This window comes from Homo sapiens, chromosome 11, assembly GCF_000001405.40.
Source record: "Homo sapiens chromosome 11, GRCh38.p14 Primary Assembly".
Lineage (NCBI taxonomy): Eukaryota > Metazoa > Chordata > Mammalia > Primates > Hominidae > Homo > Homo sapiens.
The window spans coordinates 126,886,365-126,904,659 of NC_000011.10; the positions used below are offsets into that span (position 1 = coordinate 126,886,365).

General features: G+C 43.6%; 1 protein-coding gene and 1 long non-coding RNA gene across 21 annotated transcripts in view; both read right to left on the reverse strand.

Moving 5' to 3' along the window:
- The window catches only part of KIRREL3 (kirre like nephrin family adhesion molecule 3), a 580,037-nt gene that overhangs the window by 463,007 nt on the left and 98,735 nt on the right, over nucleotides 1–18,295 (reverse strand). The gene's annotated exons all lie outside the window — the stretch shown is intronic.
- LOC105369559 (uncharacterized) overlaps nucleotides 1–18,295 on the reverse strand; it is an 88,316-nt gene that overhangs the window by 34,042 nt on the left and 35,979 nt on the right. For 2 of the 4 annotated variants that reach the window (XR_007062939.1, XR_001748434.3), the window contains one exon: nucleotides 2,968–7,683. This is a non-coding gene — a long non-coding RNA (uncharacterized LOC105369559). The remainder of the gene's footprint in view (nucleotides 1–2,967; nucleotides 7,684–18,295) is intronic. The other 2 variants (XR_001748435.2, XR_948149.3) reach the window with 2 other exon arrangements.

The following is an 18,295-nucleotide window of genomic DNA, read 5'->3' on the forward strand; positions in this document are numbered from 1 at the left end:
ATTTGTACTGCCTCAGCCCCACTGTATCTCCTACCAGCGCTAATAAAAAAATATGGCTCATTAGACAAGAAGTGGGCTCACTACTTCTTGTCTGGGTTAACTTTGTTCACCAAAGATAAACTTCATTTTTAAACTGAAGGTCTTCTGCCTGAAAACACAGCCATGTTTTGTGCTACATTCCAAAACAGGTGTTGGATAATTCAGTAATTAGTATGCACATCTAACTTCATGCAGCCTCTGTTGATCTCTCAATTATAGTTAGCTGGGTCCTCTGAAGTTTTCTGTAGTTAATTAGAGCATTATTGAACAGTTGGGATGGAGAGCCAAGCTCTGCAATCAGTTGACAGCTTGGTCCCATGAACTAAGCATTGGGCTGGTCCTTGACTGGGGAATGACAGTCTTCAGGGTGACCCAGTGCCAGAATGGGTTAGATTGTCTTTTGAATAACAGCTGGAGGGAGGCCTCTTTTATGAGCTGAGAATAATGGTCACATTCCTTATTCTGCCCCACTCTTGACAGGAAAATTCACATTCCAATGGTGATCAGTTTCAGAAATGTCTCCTCAGGGGAAAAAGGAAACTTTCAACATTCAAGAAAAAAGGATAATTGTTCTGAGCAGGCTCCAGAAAGTCAAAACCTAAGGTGAACACGTGAGTTAGTGCTCAGTCTCCCTATCTCATATGGTTTCACCTTGACTCCCCTCCCAGAAGAATTCAGGAAAAGCACAGGGGGACAGCAGGAAGGTGCATGAAGGGACCCACATGAGATGCACTGCACACCAAATTCTAGAAGGCAATTTGGAAATGATTGCTTCTGAATAATTGAGGTATCATGTCATCTGCAACATCCGAGTCTGACTGTCCAAAGCTCCTGATAATTGCCCAGGTTCCATTTTGAATGCAGCCCGTGAGTATTAGAGCAAGCATGCATTCATCACTTTAAGACCAAAAGACAAGCATGTCTTGTCAGTGGAACGGAGGGGAGATGCTTTGGGGACTGGAGGCTAAGAAGCAAGAAGCATTACTGATTATGGTCATGGTCAGCGTGCTTTCCAAGGAGAATTCTCCCCGCTGCCCAAATTTAGCTTCTGTGCTGTTCTTTTTCCAAATTTATGAAGTCAGAAGGGTCACTGCTCTCTCCTCAGCAAGTTGTGAGGCATGTTGTTCTGTAACCCACCCCTCACTGCAGGGATCTGGGCTGGCTTACTGAGTAGGTTTTCATTTCCCAGCCTCTCCTCTCTCCCACCCCCACCAACCAAGGGTCCCCAATGTGGCCAAGAATGTAAAGACAGCAGAATGACACACATGGCTGAAATAATGTTTAGATTTAACTAAATGTTGGAAATAGAATTGGTACAGTGAAAAGAAGGCTGCCTTTGGCAGGATCTCATCTCTACTCAACCGCTGAGTAACCAATGTAAGTATTACTTTTCTCCATCATATTAGAAAAATGAAGATAGGCGTAACCTTCAGAATCAGTTAAACATAGGTGAGGTCACCTGTCTCCCTGGGGATGGAATGAGACAGCACAGCACAGGAGAGAGGGGGTGGGAACAGGGGTCAGAAGGTAGAAGCTTGATTCCTATCTCTCCTCTTTGCTCAGTGAGTGGTCTTGGGCAAATCTTGTATTAATGTGGACATCAATTCCTTTAACCATAAACAGGAATCAATAGGACCTATGCTATACACCCACAGTATCAAGGGGAGGACTGAAAGTAAAAACTACTGTGTGAGAGTACTTTGGAATCTGCAAAGAGTGATATAAACAAACATACAGCACATACTGGAGTGAGGCAGGTGTGTGATCAAGTGGGCTGAATTGATTGCCAGGAAGCTTGGGAGAAAATTCTGAGAGTTTGGGACACTAGACAGCAGCCACAAAGGCTGACATCAGACAATTTACAATTCAGAGCTCTCTGGGGCCTAGAGGAGTCTTTGAAGTGAGGGAGCTCAGTTCAGCTCTTCTACCTCAATCCCACTCTGCTGTGCTGTGAATTTAAAGGGCCCGTGCCAGATTCTCACCAGGGCCCGTGCCAGATTCTTACCAGGCTGCCTACAAATCAGGGAAGAGCATAGGAGGGCGCAACAAAAGTTCTAGGACTTCTGTCTTGATCACCACCCCACACTGCTCTTTCCTTCATTAATCATTATTTATAAAGGCTAGACCAGAGGCCCTGAATCAGGCACTAGACTTTGCCAAGTCCCACTTATCTTAGAATGTGTTGCTAAGACCCTCACGAGGCCCTCCCATTCCAAGATGTATCATTTCAGGATTCCATGGTTCCCAATCAGAAGTTCATTAAAAAGATAGTAATTAGACCAGGTGACGCCGCTCGAGGTTTACTAAGTGTCCTTCAGCTCAATTCAATAAACATTGCAGACTGACCGTGGGCAAGACAACAGACCAGGCCCTAGAGCAGTAGCACTGACCCATTTCATTGTCGACAGTGATTAAAGGAGATGAAACCCATTTGTGAGTTTATGAATGTATACACACCTGGATTGCTGGTGCTGTTGTTTTCTCATGTTGATGTTCCTAACACTCCTATGGGGTGGGCAGGGAAGGCCTTATCATTCCCATTTTACAGAGTAATCCACAGTCCACGGAGATTAAGATCCCATACTTAGATAAATGGTGGAGCCAAGACTTACCCAAGGGGTGTGCCTGTGTTGTAACAGATTTACTGAAGTATGATTGCACACAATAAATAACGTCGTTAAAGTAGTATACAAGGTGAGGGGTTCTGCCGTGTGTACACTCATGAAACCATCACCACGATCAGGACTGCAAACACGTCCATCACCCCCACCAAAGTTTTCTCTTCCCCTTAGTGACCCCTCCCTTTTTCCCTCCCCCTCTTTATTCTCCCCCTGCCCCTCAAGTACCCAGGGATCTGCTTTTTGTCTTGAAAGACTAGTTTGCCTTTTTAAAAAATACTTCATATAAATAAAATCACATAATATGAACCTTTTGGCTGGCTTCTTTCACTTGGCATAATTACATTGACATTCGTCATCATTACTGCGTGATCAGTAGTCCATTCCTTTCTACTGCTGAGGAATATCCCATTGTGTGGAGGCACCATGATTTGTTTTGGTTTGATGTCCAATGATTTTTTAAAAATTGTTCTTCTTGGAAAAAAAAAGGAGAAGAAAAAAAGTCAATTCCCTCTTCTCCTCCCAGAACTCTAAATGATTACCACTCAAGTCTTGTTTCTCAAATATTTCCTGGTTAAATGGACAAATATATTACAGGCCACATCAGGGCTTCTATGCACAGCTTCGGGAAGAATCAGTTTCAGTACGTTTTATTGGAACCTGCACATTGAGACGACAGCTTCTTTGCTTGTAGACAAGGAGAACTCACAAAGGCATAAACAATAGAGAACTTTGGAAAAATTATGAGAGCAATTTAAGAGTGGATAATTAGATATCTTTTGCAGGGTGTTAGGGAAATTAAATTAGCTTTTTTTAAAAATCAAGGTTTGTGGGAATCACTTCATAAAAAATATCTCCGTGACTGATTATTTTTCTAACATTCTTCGCCTTTCTTCCTTGCATATCCAAGGAAGTGGCACTTTTAGCCCTTAGCTGTGGCAGCCAATCATAGCCTCTAATTGCATTCACTGCATAAATTGTCAGTGTCATGAATAATAAAATTAGTTTAAATAAACCCCCAGCCACAATCACAAATAACTATCTGGTGGAGGATCTTGTGTCCTTTCATTCTAGGGGGATGGGTCAGTGCAATCTCTGTAGTTAAATTCTTGAGTTAAAATGAAGATAAAATTATTGGGGAGGTGGGGATAGAGCTGAGGGGTGAAAGTGGGAGGAGAATGGTTTCTGGCTCCCGGCAGGTTCATGAAAGAGAAAGGGTCTTCTTCCTGAGCAGCCTTCCGAGAGTGCCTCATACCTAAGACAGTCAGCCCTGACCAGCAACAATAGCCGAGAAAGGGCTTGTACTGGCCATGCCAGAGTCTAGAGGGAAGAGCTTGGGGCTCAGAGACTGAGCAGTCCTGCGTGCTCCTGTGGTGGCCTAATGTGACCTATTATCCAGCAACTCCCATCTATTTCTGAAAACTCCACGTGCTGGTCTGGCACTCTAATTGTCCAATCTGCTGCTCAATTTTCAACAGGATCTCATCAAGCACTTTGCCATTTAATGGTGACCAAATCCCTCCAGTTTTCTGCTCCCTGGCTGTGGACAGAAGGCACCTGGAGGGGTGCTGTGGGAGTCCCGTGGCTGCACATCCTGGCAAAAGGAGTTCATTTCGATGGCCAAGCAGCTTCTATCAGCTTTTCTCTTTCTTTACAGGCCCTGCCCAAATACTCTGCCTTCTGTAGACTCTACTGAAGCCACTAGGGTGAGTGAGAGAGTAGACGACTGCAAACATGAGCGTCCCCCAGTCCCAGCACCACAGCGGCCTGCCTGTGCCCAGCGCTGCCCCAGCATCCTCCCAACCACTGTCCTCAGCATTGTTTCAATAGGAGTCACATGATTTTCCAAAACACAATCCCTTCTTTCAACCTGAGCCTCAGCTCCCTGATATGTTAATTCCCAGGCTGATTCCAGTGCTGTTGGTCCCCCGCTTGGTTCATTACATTTCTGAGCCCACTCTGCTGCCTTTATTTAATGAGGTTTATTGTTTGTGCTTAGTAATTTTCAAAGGCCCATCACCCTCTTTGAGTTTGCCCTTAGATCTTCAGCCTGCCAAAGAGGTGGGCTTTTGAAGCTACCTTTATTAATTCAGTACCTAGCTTCTGCATTTAATGGCACATGGGTTTGAAGTGTACATAAGCCACAGTGGAAACATCTGAGAAGCGTCCCAAGATACTGCAAATTATAAAGGGTGATTAGGAAATAGCATGGCTCTCTATCTTCTCATGCCTTAGAACTTTATTCCTTATATCAAAAAGATCCTGGGATATCAAAATATCACTGTCTGACTCTGATAATGACTTCCCAGAGTTTCAGACATTGGTGGAAAAAAGATATAATTTTAATTATCAGCAGCTCCACTTAAAAAAATCTTCAGCTATTGTAAAGGGCAAGGAGCTGGAAGGAAAGGCAGAAGAGGAGGCAAGAGGTGAGCCCATGTCCTACTAAATGCCTGCAAAGTGGCTGTCTTTGAGAGCGCTCCACAGTCCCTGCCATGGATGGATTCCTTGGAAAGAGATGCACAGGGTGCTCCGACTGTTAGTCTGTCCTGCTATCACTATCACTGTCAGGGAGCAAACGGCAGAAGCCAGTCTCAGGGAAGCCAGTGGCCTGACAGTTAAGGCAAATGCACAGACTTCAGAAATCACACCAAAGCAGCTTGGCTTCTAAGATGCAGCCCTGACCGGCTGACTCAAAGGAAGTTGGCTGGCAGGTTCTGCGATCCCTGGAGATGGGCAGGGCTGGGGTCAGACTCCGGTGACAGCAGCAGTGGACACAATCCAGGACTTCCCAGTGAGGTCTGTCTTTTCTTTGAAAGGGACAGAGGAGTGTGGTCCTTGGGACATCTAGCCCAGGGAAAGAAATCTTGCCCAAGAATACATATGAATATCTGCAAAAACAAAGTTGGGGTTTGATATCTTTCAGGAAGCCTAGGAATTCTAGGCCACTGCCAGCATTGGGAATGGTTGGCTCCCTTCCCCTTCCTTCCATGCCCAGCTGGAGACAGAATGCTGGACTCTGGGTGCCTGAATTCTGATCCTGGCTCTATCAGTGTCTCTGTGCACCAGAGAGAGGCCACTTAGCCTCCCTTGGCCTCAATGGCTTCTTGGTGATCTTCCAATAATTTTTAGCAGTAGAAGCTTTCCTTTCCTAATTGAAATTTTACAGGGAACAATATTTAAAATAGCTAAGAGGGGCTGCCATGCCTGAGGGTGGTCCCTGCCTGCTCTGTTTTCTTCATCCCCTTCGTACCCTCCTGCTCAGCAGAAGCTGAGGGACTCCAGGGGACCCCAGCCCTCCTCAGGACCCACCGTGGAAGCAGAACTCCCAACTGTCTTTCTCACTGCTTGTGGTTTGTAAGTTTTATGACTCGATTTTAATCTGTACCATTTAGGATATGCTCAGGAGGGGCCCTGGGAGAGGCACAAGTGGCAGCTTTTTTTTCTTGAAAAATCAGCTATTATTTATCCTTAAGGAAGAAAAAAAGCAACCCTGAGAAAATGATTTTCTTTTCACAGCCTTATTACAAATGCTGAGCACAGCTAGAAGTAAGGCCTGGCTCTGTGCACGTGTGTGTGCATGTGCACGTGTGTATGTATTATGTGTGTGTGTTTCCGGTGGGCAGGTGTGGCTGGAGGCATGACCCCTTTTCTCTGGTTGATTTCATCTCCAGTAGCCAAGTAGAAACTACAGCATGACCTGACTTCTATGCCCCCAGCACTATGGCCATGACAGCCTCCAGATAGGAGAAGGGTCTGGCTTCATTGACATTTCCACGGTAGTGCATACAGCCCTCGAGACCTACTCAAGAGAGGACAAAAGAGAGGCTCGGGTAGAGCTTATCTAGTGGATGAACCTGCTCCTAGACACAGAGCACTGCCTGGCATCCCTGCTGCAGAATCGGGCTAGGATAGGGCTGAGTATTCTAATTGCCTGTGGGATAGGATTTCACTATATCCCTGCACAGCTGTTTTCATGCTGTGGTTGGATTTTGACGCTGTCGTAATTTCCCCCGTTGTTTGATATTCTCGCATTTACATTAAAGAAGTACAGGAGAAGAACAGTGTTCTTGGGAGAAGATTTCAGCATTTAGGATTCATACAAATAAATGCATGGACTGCCCACGCTTCCCTCACATCCGTCAAACAACTCAGTTAAAAACACCTTTTCAAAAGGCTCTTCTATAATTTTACTTCTTTTAAAAATAGTGATGGGGTTATGTCTGATGCCCCGGAACGTCCGTCATGCATTGATTTTATCCAGTTCAGTGCCAGGCAGCAATTAGCAAAGGTAACACTAATTAGGTTTTACAATGTAATATGTGTCCTTCTAAACTTAAGTCATAGCATTTTAAGCTTCTAATGATTGCAAGGTCATTTTGCTATTCTTCATAATAGCAGGGATGCTAATGAGTGCATTTGGTATGCGTGGGGATGCCCCTGTTTCCTCCTGGGGCTTATCAGCATTTACTGGGGACACTTTACTTAATTTGTTGCCGAGCTCATGACCTAAACGGAAACATTGAACCGGCCACCTGAAGGTCTAGAAGTTTTAGACTGTGGAATCAGCGCTGTGGAAGGCCCGGCTACCCGGGTTACCGTGAGCTGATCATTTGTTTTCCTCTGGACTTAGAAGCTCCGCATCCACCCTGTCCAATCTCCTTAGCTGGCCAATCTCCCTCTCCCACGTCTGAATGCACTTAAATTTGCTCCTTCCTGCTAAGAAAAATGTTATCCTATTAAACGATGCGTGTTATAAATACCTTAACATTCATAGTTTCATGTTTTAATCTTGCTGCTAGCATATTCTGGGCATGCTTACTGGAATCAGTTTTCTATTTCTTAGATTGTAAGTTCTCAGGAGGCAGATTAAAAACTCATAAGATGGTCTCTGTAAAATGTCTTTCCCAGAGCCGCGTGTGACTTGGTATTTCATGTGGGTTTTAGATGTGGCTGTAGATAATGAGATGGCGGGTATGACAGTGTTGAGATTCAAGCAGCTTCAGCAGGCTCTCCCCCAGTGCAGCTGGAAAACATGACAAAATACATTTCCACTGTTGACACGTCCACCTCGTCCTGTTGGGGTGGCCCCCCAGGGTGGTGTGGGTTTGAGAGACATTGTTGGGGCTCAGACTTCCTGCCTTCCTCTTAAGGAAAAATAAGGAAGTGATGAATTGAGGGGAATACACGCAAAGTAGAGAAAGCTAGGGTTGTCTTAATTTCATTTATTTGCTGGGTAAGTTTCTACTCACTTGAAGCTATAGTCCAGGCATTGTGTTAGGTGTAGGGGTGTCGTGGTGAGCAAGACAGGTATCATCCCTGCCTCCAGAGCTTACAGCCCAGGCTGGGGAGTCCACAGTAGGCAGCAAATGCTTTGAGTGATTCTTATTTCAAATCGTGTTAAGTGCTGGGCATGGTGCCTCATGCTTATGACCCTAACAGTTTGGGAGGCCAAGGTGGGCAGATCCCTTGAGCCCAGGAGTTCGAGACCAGCCTGGGCAACATAATGAGACCTCATCTCAAAAAAAAAAAAAAAAAAAAAAAAAAAAGGAAAAGAAAGAAAGAAAGAAAGAAAGAAAGAAGCTAGGTATGGTGTCACATACACCTGTAGTCTCAGCTACTCAGGAGGCTGAGGTGAAATCCCTGGAGCCCAAGGGGTCAAGGCTTCAGTGAGCCATGATTATGCCACTGAACTCCAGCCTGGGCAACAGAGAGAGACCCTGTCTCAAAATCAATCAATTGATCAATCGTGTTAAGTATAATAAAGAGGCTCCAGATGCTATGAAGGAATAGTGGGCCTGATCTATTCAGTGGGGATCAGGAGATTCCTAAAGGAAGTGATACTTCTGCTGAGCTCTGAGGGATGACCAGAAATGACTAGACACACAGTGGAGGGAAAGCCATTCTAGGCAGAGAGAGGCATGTAGGAGGGTCCTGAGATAAGATCATTCACAGTGTATTCCATCCTCTCTGGGGATTTTCAAGGGGAGCACTCTGCAAGAGTCACAGGATTAGCCTAGGAAAGACCGGGCTTTAAAACAAGGAGCTCCCAGGCACAGAGATTCTTGGTTCTCAAATGTTGCAGCCTGTGACGATTCCTAGTGCTTCAGGATGGCTGCTTCCCCACACGGAGCTTCCTTCTTGTGAAAGCAAGAAGAAGGCCGGGTGCAGTGGCTCACACCTGTAACCCCAGCACTTTGGGAGGCTGAGATGGGAGGATCACTTGAGGTCAGGAGTTCAAGACCAGCCTGGGCAACATGGTGAAACCCCGTCTCTACTAAAAATACAAAAATTAGCCAGGCATGGTGGAGGGCACCAGTAATCCCAGGTACTTGGGAGGCTGAGGCAGGAGAATTGCTTGAACCCGGGAGGCGGAGATTCCACCACTGTACACTGCAGCCTCAGCAACAGAGTGAGACACTGTCTCTTAAAAAAAAAAAAAAAAAAAGGAAAAAAGAAAGAAGGAAAGGGAGAAGGAAAGCAGAGAGGGCATGAGGGAAGAGATGAAAGGAAGAAAGGAACTTCCAAAGCAATGCTCTGGGACAAGCCTTTGGGATTCTCCTGCCATCCTTTTAAGGGAACTGAAGGCCAGAACCTGAGAGGGAGACATTAGTTCTAGGTCTTAGACCCAGCAAGGGTAACCAGACAGGGTTACTACTGTTCTGGTTACTGAAGGCTCCCGTGCATGGAGTGTTGCATTCCCCAGCCTCTGGAGCTGGTGGGGGTTGGAGCTTCACAGGGTCACCTCCCTAACTTCCCCTTTACTGCTGTCCTGAGCCTGGTTCAGAACTCATTCTGTCAGGAACCCCAGTGACCACATGACCCAGCTGCCCCCAGTAGGTGGCTGCCTCAGACCCTAGGCAATAAACACTCCTTGCAGCACTCACTTAATGTGACATAAAGAGAAGAAACTGCAGCGGTGTTGTCACTAGAGCGAATGGCAAATTCTCATAGCTAGATAATGCAGAAATAAAGTGCATTTGTAATAGACAACAAAAGGATTATCCCCCATTCATTTCAAAGCACCTTCATCCCACTCAGGGATTACATTTCTCTTACTTATCTTGCAAGTAGTTTTTTCTATTCTTGTTTATCCCTGAAGAGCACATGTATAGCTTATAGCAAATAAAAAGCTGGACCTGTTAAAGGCAAGGCCTTCATTAGTCAGAGAGAAGTCATTCTCCAGGACTCTGTGAGTTCTCTAATCCACTGCTAGGCAGTAGGATACCTAAGAAACTAACCCTATACCATCCAAGACAGAACTCTGCTAGTCTGCAAGGATGAACATGGTCCATGAGAAATAGCAGCATCTCCCAGAAAACCTGAGCAGGTCAGGGGCTTCTCTGACTCCTCTCCACATTTGACCTTGGTCTCTGAGATGCTCTTTGTGGCTCTCCTGTATGCCTGTTGAGATGCCCATGCCCTTTCCAGAGCTACAGACAGGCATGCTGTCATCAGACTTCCAATCTTTACTCTGAATGAGAAAAACATCAAAATCTGAGAAGCAGGAGAGCTAAGGGTATCCTAGTGAATGGAATGATGATGCAAATATCCTAGAAAGCTGTGTAGAGAACGTGGGGCCTGTCCATGGGCTTCAGTGCCCACCATGCAGTGCATGGGAGACCGAGGGAATGGCTGGGACTTTAATTCTTTTGAGGGCCGTTGCTCTTCTCAGACACCCAGGGGAGGGGTTCCATGGCCACAGCAAGCTCTCTGGCAGCCTCTGACCTGTGGAGATTCATTCTCACCACGTGTTCCAACTCTAGAACTATGTAACTGCTCAGATCTTACCCAAGCGCGTGTTCTCCTCTTTCATAGCTTCCATTCTTACCCCCATTCACATATCATCATGTGCTTCACACGCAGTGGGGATCTTAACAGGCATTGCCATTTCTTTTGCTTGATATTTCTGGCTCCTTTCTTTTGTTACTCTAAGACTTTGCAGAATCAAAAGATTCTAAGAAGAGGCCAGGGAAAGAGCAGACCATCCAAGTACCAAAAATCCCTAGTAGGCAGCCTTCTCCTCTCTCTTCCCTGCTCTTCCTCTTATCCAAGTTATTAAAATACGAAAGATCATCTCACGAATACGGGCTACAAACAACTCCACAACTAAAGCAAACCCTTCTGGTCACCCTGGGTCAGAGGAGCACAGGTGGTCCCATGGGGAAGGGCAGCAATTTGGCCCCAGGACACCAGGTTGGTGGCAGAACCTGCTGAGTGTTTTCCCAGGCTGGCGGGGAATCTCATGAGGAGGAGATCAGTCCTGGAATGTCCAGGACTGAGGGGACAGTCATGAGGGGGAGATGACACAGTTTAGGACAGGCTTCCCTTTAAGGTATTTAACTTTATAGAAAATGGAAAGCCTTCCCCAAGCGTTCTCTTATTTTGGGGAAAAAAAATGAATGTGCAATTCAACTGTACCCCAGAACAGTCCATCATGAACTTGGACCTTTGTCACTCACCTGTCAACCCCATCTAACACCACCCCCAAAAGGAGTAGAACAGGAAACCAGCTCCCACAGAGGGTTAAAGGCACAGCATCCTCCTGTTTGTATATAGCAGACCATTAGGGTATTTTTATTTCTCTTCTCTCCATGTTGCACAATACCACATCAAAAATACATTTGCAGCAAAGCTTATTTTCTGAAGATAGATAATTTGGTTAAATCTTTTCCACTTTGATTTCATCTCCAGTTTCGGACGAGCAGCAGTACAACATGCAGCAGCAAAAGCCCATTTTATTCTCATGAAAAAGAATTTAATGACCCTCTGATATAAAATTGATCCTCTGATAAGATGGCACTTGTGGGTTACTTTGACAGAAATGTTAAACTAAGTAAGTCTGCACATATCCACTGATGTATGGCACCTCGAGTTGCTGCTGGGACTGCAGAGGACACATCATTCTGCCTCTGCTTGGGAAGGGGGAGTGGGTGGGAGCTTGGACTGTCCACACTGGTCTAGCACTATTGTGTCACTGAATTCCTACAGAATCTTAGCAGTCATTGTGTGGCCTGGAGCTCACATGGGTTGGGAAGTTTGGACAACTGTCTTGTAGAATCAAACATTTTATTTCAGGCATTCCCAGGTGGTGTTTGCCCTGGTTCCAGTCTCTGATGCCACAGTCGCCTATCTCGTGGACAGGTGGAAGTAAAGAGTTAGGATCAAAGCTGTTAGTAACAAGGACAATGAAACACTACTTTATGCCAATTAGGTTAGCAAGAATTAGAAAACTGAAGGATACCAAGGACTGGGGAACAGGTGGGGAAACTGGAACTGCTCTGAACCAGTGTTGAGAATATAAACTGGTCGGATATTTTAGAATATTCCTGGCAGTACTTAATGAAATTGTGCATGCATATATCCTAAGGCACATAAGTAAGTATTGTGTGGTGGTATGAATGCTGGATTCTCACACAGTGGGAAATTAGAAGAAACCTGGAGATGCAACAAAACAGAATGGATAATGAAATTTTGTGAATGCAGCAATTAGAAACAATGAAGTGGGCAGATACCTAACAATACGAACAATTCCTAAAAGCAGCGTTAGTTGAAAGCAGAAACAGAATTATATCTGTAGCACAATGTCCTTTAGGTAAATTAAAATCATGCATATAGGTAACACCCTGTACTTTACATATATTTTGGAAGACCTTTATCAAACATAGAATAGTTACCTGGGGGTAAAGGAAGGGAAATGGAAGTGAGGACCAGAGACGAAGATGGAAAATATAAAAAAAGAGAGTTCTTAGATGGGTTATGATGTGTCATAAGCTGAGAAATATGACTAACTCAAGTCTTTGCAGCTTATATTCAATTTAAAAAATAGCACATAACTTAGAACATGGAATAAATGCCAACTTAAGTGGTGATTTTGATGGCTACAATCCAGGCCCCCTTTCCCAACTGTCCTCCAAACCTCCTTTATCCTCTTGAACAATCAGAGGGGGATGCTGTAAGATGAGACTTAAAAGCCGCAGGGGAGTTTGGGGGGGGTCTCTCGCATTCCTGAGGTCCCTTTGACTATAGGTAATAAAGGTTAACAGAAGGTGGAAGGCTGGTTAGAGAGTCAATTACAAACTAACTGACTCACAAGGATGGGAAAAAACCCAGGAGATGCACTACGATCTTGTAAAAGGGAGATTTCCTATATATATATATATGTTTCTCATTTGGGGAGTGCATTGACTTTTTGACTTGGGTATAATGATCACCTGGAGAGGCTGATCAAAACAGGAGCCTGCCTGAATGCTTTATAGCCTTTCACTCCTTGTAGACATGAAGATAGCTAAGAAAAAGTAAATGGAGGTCATCAAAGTCATTTGCACTTGTAAAATGTGACCCAGCAACTATTAAACACAAAATCTCTGATAATAGCCGTAAAAGAAAAGAAGTGTCACCTATCCTAACTGACAAAGGAAAGGAAGGAGGGAGGTGAAAGTCAGATGCAGAACACCGATTAACTTCCTCTTCTGAGAATTAAAATGGTGACCACTTTTCTCCTTCCATCTAACCAATTTGAAACAAAGACAAGGAAGGCAAAGCTTCCTCAAATCTGGATCACCACTCAACCTTTGAAAGGCTATTCCATTGTCACCAATTGGCATATCTGATCGGGCAAATCAAGGACTGAGGTTTGGAAACAGATATAGCAAAAGGTGCTATCAAGTGAAAGGGCTGAGCAGGAAGGTTGATTAAGTCCAGGCTGAGTAGGAAGGTTGGTTAGCTAGGGCTAGTGAAGCAGCTGCCCCTGAAGTTCTGTAACAACTGGGTACACCATGTAGTTTACAAGTAATCCTCAAACCTGGTCAAAAATGTTGTCATTGAGGCCTAGTGGTTGAGTTTTTAGAACAGAAAAAAGTAGCAAGTGGAGACTCTGGAAGAGCTCCTAGACACAGAACATCTTCTTAGAGCTTTCCTAGTGCTCAAATCTTCTACAAAGCCAAAACCGCTCTTTAGTTAAGCAAATTTGGGATGAGGGGAAGTAACAAATAGTCATATTAATTGCATGGCAGTGGTTGTTTTGTAAAAGGAATAGCTAGCTGGTGGGTCACTTCCTCTGCTCTCCAAATCAATTGTTTTGCACAATGGAGACACACTCCTTGGGTCAGGAAACTAAATGTGAGTGTATCTGTTCCCATGTGTGTAAATATACAGCTCTCATGTGCCTAATTTATAGCAAGTCACCTACTACTAGAACATCGGCCCTTCAGTTTTGGATCACTTGAATTATTCAAACCAAAGACGCCTTCACCACCAATGATCAGAGGAAAAGTGATTCAGATGGGGTTTAGAACTACTCAGAGTCTTCCTTGAGTGCAAGCAGTTCCGGCTTGTGAGAAATTCAGAGAAGTCTAGAAATAGAAATAACAAACACAAAAAAGAAAGCCTGCATGTTTATTGATAACAACCTGATAGGAATGCATATTCCTTCTCCAATTCCCTTTCCTTCTGCAAAGAGTTAAACAAAAAAGTAATTAAACAATAATTTCTTTGTGAGTGCTGGACTTCTGAGGCCTGTTTTCTCTGTTGGAAAAAAAATAGATTTAAGATAATGGCCCTATTCTCCTCAGAATAAATTAAGCTCAGAGATAAAGAATTCCATTACTAATGCCTTTCAGCAAAGCCCAGGCATCTTTTAAAGTCAAACTTTAAAGTATAATATGCCGTGATCTTGTTAAAATCTTTCCTGTAATGATATTTAAGTGATGGGCAAGGGTATCAATGGTTCAGGCAAAGTATTGATTGTATATCTTCAGGGCTGTTGAGCTCTTTCAGAGTATTCTGTTTGAGGGAATGCATTGTACTTATTTAAAGACATTTTCAAAACAGTTGCAAGTTAACTCAAGTAACTGATTTTTTGTATGTAAAACTGTAGGAAAAAAGGGAAAGTTGGAAGGGGAGGATAGAAAGATAGGAACCTGAAGGATACTCAAGTTATAAATCAATGACAAAGACCAACAGTAAGTGGATCACGAGGTCAGGAGTTCGAGACCAGCCTGACAAACATGGTGAAACTTCACCTCTACTAAAAATACAAAAATTAACTGTGCATGGTGGCGCACACCTGTAACCCCAGCTACTCAGGAGGGTGAGACAGGAGAATCGCTTGAACCTGGGAGGCAGAGGTTGCAGTGAGCTGAGATCGCACCATTGCATTTCAGCCTGGGTAACAGAGCGAGATTCCGTCTCAAAAAAAAAAAAAAAAAAAGACTCTGGGATATTCCTATAACCAGCACAGCACATAGAACCTGCTTCAAGTTAACGATTCTTTTAGGTGCTTAGCTCTCACCATTTTCTTTTCTGTTGAAGTATTGACAAATGACTCATCTTCACCCTTGTGGTAAGAAGTAGTCCCTTCTTCCTTGGGGAGCAGGGGGTTTCTTGGAGAGGAGATAGTTAGTTGCTAGTCTGGAAAATCTGCAGAGTCTCAGCAAATCCAGCTCCATTCTCTCCGGAAGAGAATGTGAAGAGTCAGAGGGAGCACAGGAACAATTCAGTGAGCAACGATGGAGGATACTGTCTGCAGAAAGCATGGGTGATGGCTTGGGACTATGGTGGTCCTGCTGGCAACCTCTTGGTGGTGCTGAAAGCACCTGAACCATTATCCTATTTAAGTCACAACTTGGATGTCTAAAGCCATCATATATGATGTCCACATACAGATGATGACCCCTTGAACATGGGTTTGCAATTCCCATTCATCTCCCCTACATGACTGTATGTGTTTTAAGGGCAGAGTTTGAAAATCATCCCTTCCTCACTTGATAACCTGAATAATATTCATGGCTCTGGAGAGCAAAATCCTTCAAAAACTGGTTTTCCTCCTTGAAACAAAGAAACAACCAGTGAGTTTTCCTGGAACTAATGCCATCCTAGAGTTCGCAGCTAAAGTGACACCAGTTGTTTGCCAGGTGGCTTCGGGCACACCCCAACTGCAGCATGGAATGTCTCAAGGGTCATAGGGCTGGGCCCTGCCTCTCCACTCTTCTCTTATGCAGGAGAATGACTAACACCCCCTAGGTGTTAGTTGGATTCTGCACTCGGATTCTGCAAAGACTATCCTGGCTCCTGGGCATCAACTTTCAGTTGGAAGGAGCTATGGAGGCTTGTTCCAGTGGTCTCATCATCCTGGAACATGCACAGGGCTTTGGGGCTACTTGGCCTGATAGCTCGTCCACCAAAAGGTGCTGTCATTGATGCTGGCAAGGAAATACCCACTGTGGGAAGGGCTGTAGATATCCTACAAAAGAAATCCAGTTCCTGGTGAGGTGGCACACACTTTCGTGTCTTTGTTATAGAGGAAGAGGATCCCATTGCTTAACATTTCTGGCTTACATTTATTCCAATTCTTTGGATTGAATTAATCTATTTGAAATATGTGCATGCACACACCTATATGCACATATTTATGGGATATATAGTTGCTCGTGACTTTAAAATGTATATTTCTTATGAAACTAGGTTAAAGTTTTATAGAACAGAATGTGAAAGAATGCTCTCATAAGTATATCCCCCTAATGCAGTGAATTTGTTTAACAAACATTTGTTTGGTTCTTGCTATGTGTCAGGCAAGGCGCCAATCCCTGTGGATACAGAGAAGTGTGCGTCAAAGTCCCTCTCCTCCAGAGTCCACAATCTATTGAGGCAGATGAATGAGAAAACCTACAAAGTATGTTAGGAAGCAGACAGGATGCTGGGCAAACACTGGGACACAGCTCCTTTCCAATATTCTGGATGGAAAAACCTAGTTCTTACAGGGCTATAGTCATGGAAGAGATGCAATTTTGTATTCTGTTTTCCTCCTACTTGTGTTTTAATCACATTTCCTTCTGAGGCTACATGGTTGCACCCTCATCTCTCAGAAAGACTTTTCTTTAAATAAACAGAGATCCAGATAGCAAAATGCTACCATCCAATGTCTTTGCCTATATTTATTTCATTACTTCATCTGAATAATACTTTTTTTAAAAAAAAGGAAGCCCAGCGTCCTATGACCTTGTGAAAGAAGCAAAAAATAGCATCATTTACTCAGCAGCATATTGTACCTTTGCCTATTGTTTTCTTACTTGTCTAATTATTTAAAAAAGAATAGCTGTGGTAAAGCACTCTCTCAGGCACAAATATGCTTCTGATTTAAGAAATTATTATAGAAAAATGCTGGAAGCCTTGTAGTCATCTTTGCTATATTTAGAGGGAAAATAACGTCCCTCTGCAATTACCATTTGGTATGAAGTTTAGGCACTCACATTTTTCTTTTCTTTTTTTTTTAAACTAATTTTTTCCTCTTTTTCTCTGGGTTAACAATGCAGGGATCATAGTTGCACAATTATTAAAAAGAGGCCACTTAAATTCAACTCTCCATGGATACAGTGTCTGTGGCAATGTTTAATTAGAGATTAAAATTGAGGAATTGAATAATTGAGGTTGCTAATGAATTTGAAAACTCAGCAAAGCAAGGAGAGCTGAGCGTTTTTCCGACTTAGCTTTTCTTTCTCTAACCCTTTTCTCATTTCCTACTATTATCACATTTCTGGCCTTGACTGCTGAGTTTATTACTACCCATAACCCTGGCCTAAGTGGAAACAAAAAAGCTGTAGCCTCTTTGCTGAGCTCCTGGAGACATTTGGTCTATTGGATTTATGACATGTTCAGAAGCTTGCAGTTGCAGGAGGCTGACAATGATGAAAATGAGATATGTTGGGCCACCAACGCTTTCTGTAATCACCTTAATAGGTCAACATAACAATGGATGTTGCTGGTGGAAAAAATAAGAAGACGGTCCTAAATCAAAGGCAATTTAATATATTAGAAGTTCTATTGCTACCCCCTCTAGGGAGACTGGATTATTTGGGTACCTTGCTTGGTAGGCTTGCATTAGCTTCAGGTGCCCAACAATGAAAGTAATCCCTTGGTTCACCCTGGAACAGAACCAGTTCTTTACAAGGTGACCCTATAATAGCTATCCCCTTGGTAGATAGCACATCTCAACTCTGGCCTGGAGGTAATTCTCAAGCAGGGATTTCTGCACTGGGAGGAGGCCAGATTACAAGACCCTGAAGGTCCTTTCCAACTCTAAATTGCTATGATTTTATGAAGATGGCATAGAAAAAACTGCCTCACTCTAAGAGAACCATACCCTTTGAAGCCTCTTTTTAACACACAGGTAAAGTTTTCAGGACTATTTTTATCATTTGGACACCGAACTTCAGATGAGATATTCCAAGTTTCATTTAGCACAACATATAGATGGTTTAAATCTACATTCAAGGTAAATGTCTGTATTTTATGGCCCGAAGCCCCCAAACTCATGATTATTTGCTATTTTGCCATTGCTAGTTAAATTGGGTCTTGATGTTTACTGCATCTCTGACTGCAATAAGACTGATCACTAGTGGGGATAGTGCAACTGATAAAAGGAACCTGCTCCAAAGCAATGTTAACATAGCAGATATTTGGTCAGAAAATCTTTTATGAATTAGAAGTCATTCCTAATAACATTTCCTTAAAACTTCTTAGCCACACTTCTTAGCTCAGCTGCTGATGGCTTCCTACTAATGACTTTAAATACATGTTTTTGACATCAGGAAAAGAAATAATCTGTCTTACAAGGCTGTTCTTACTTATACCAAGAACAA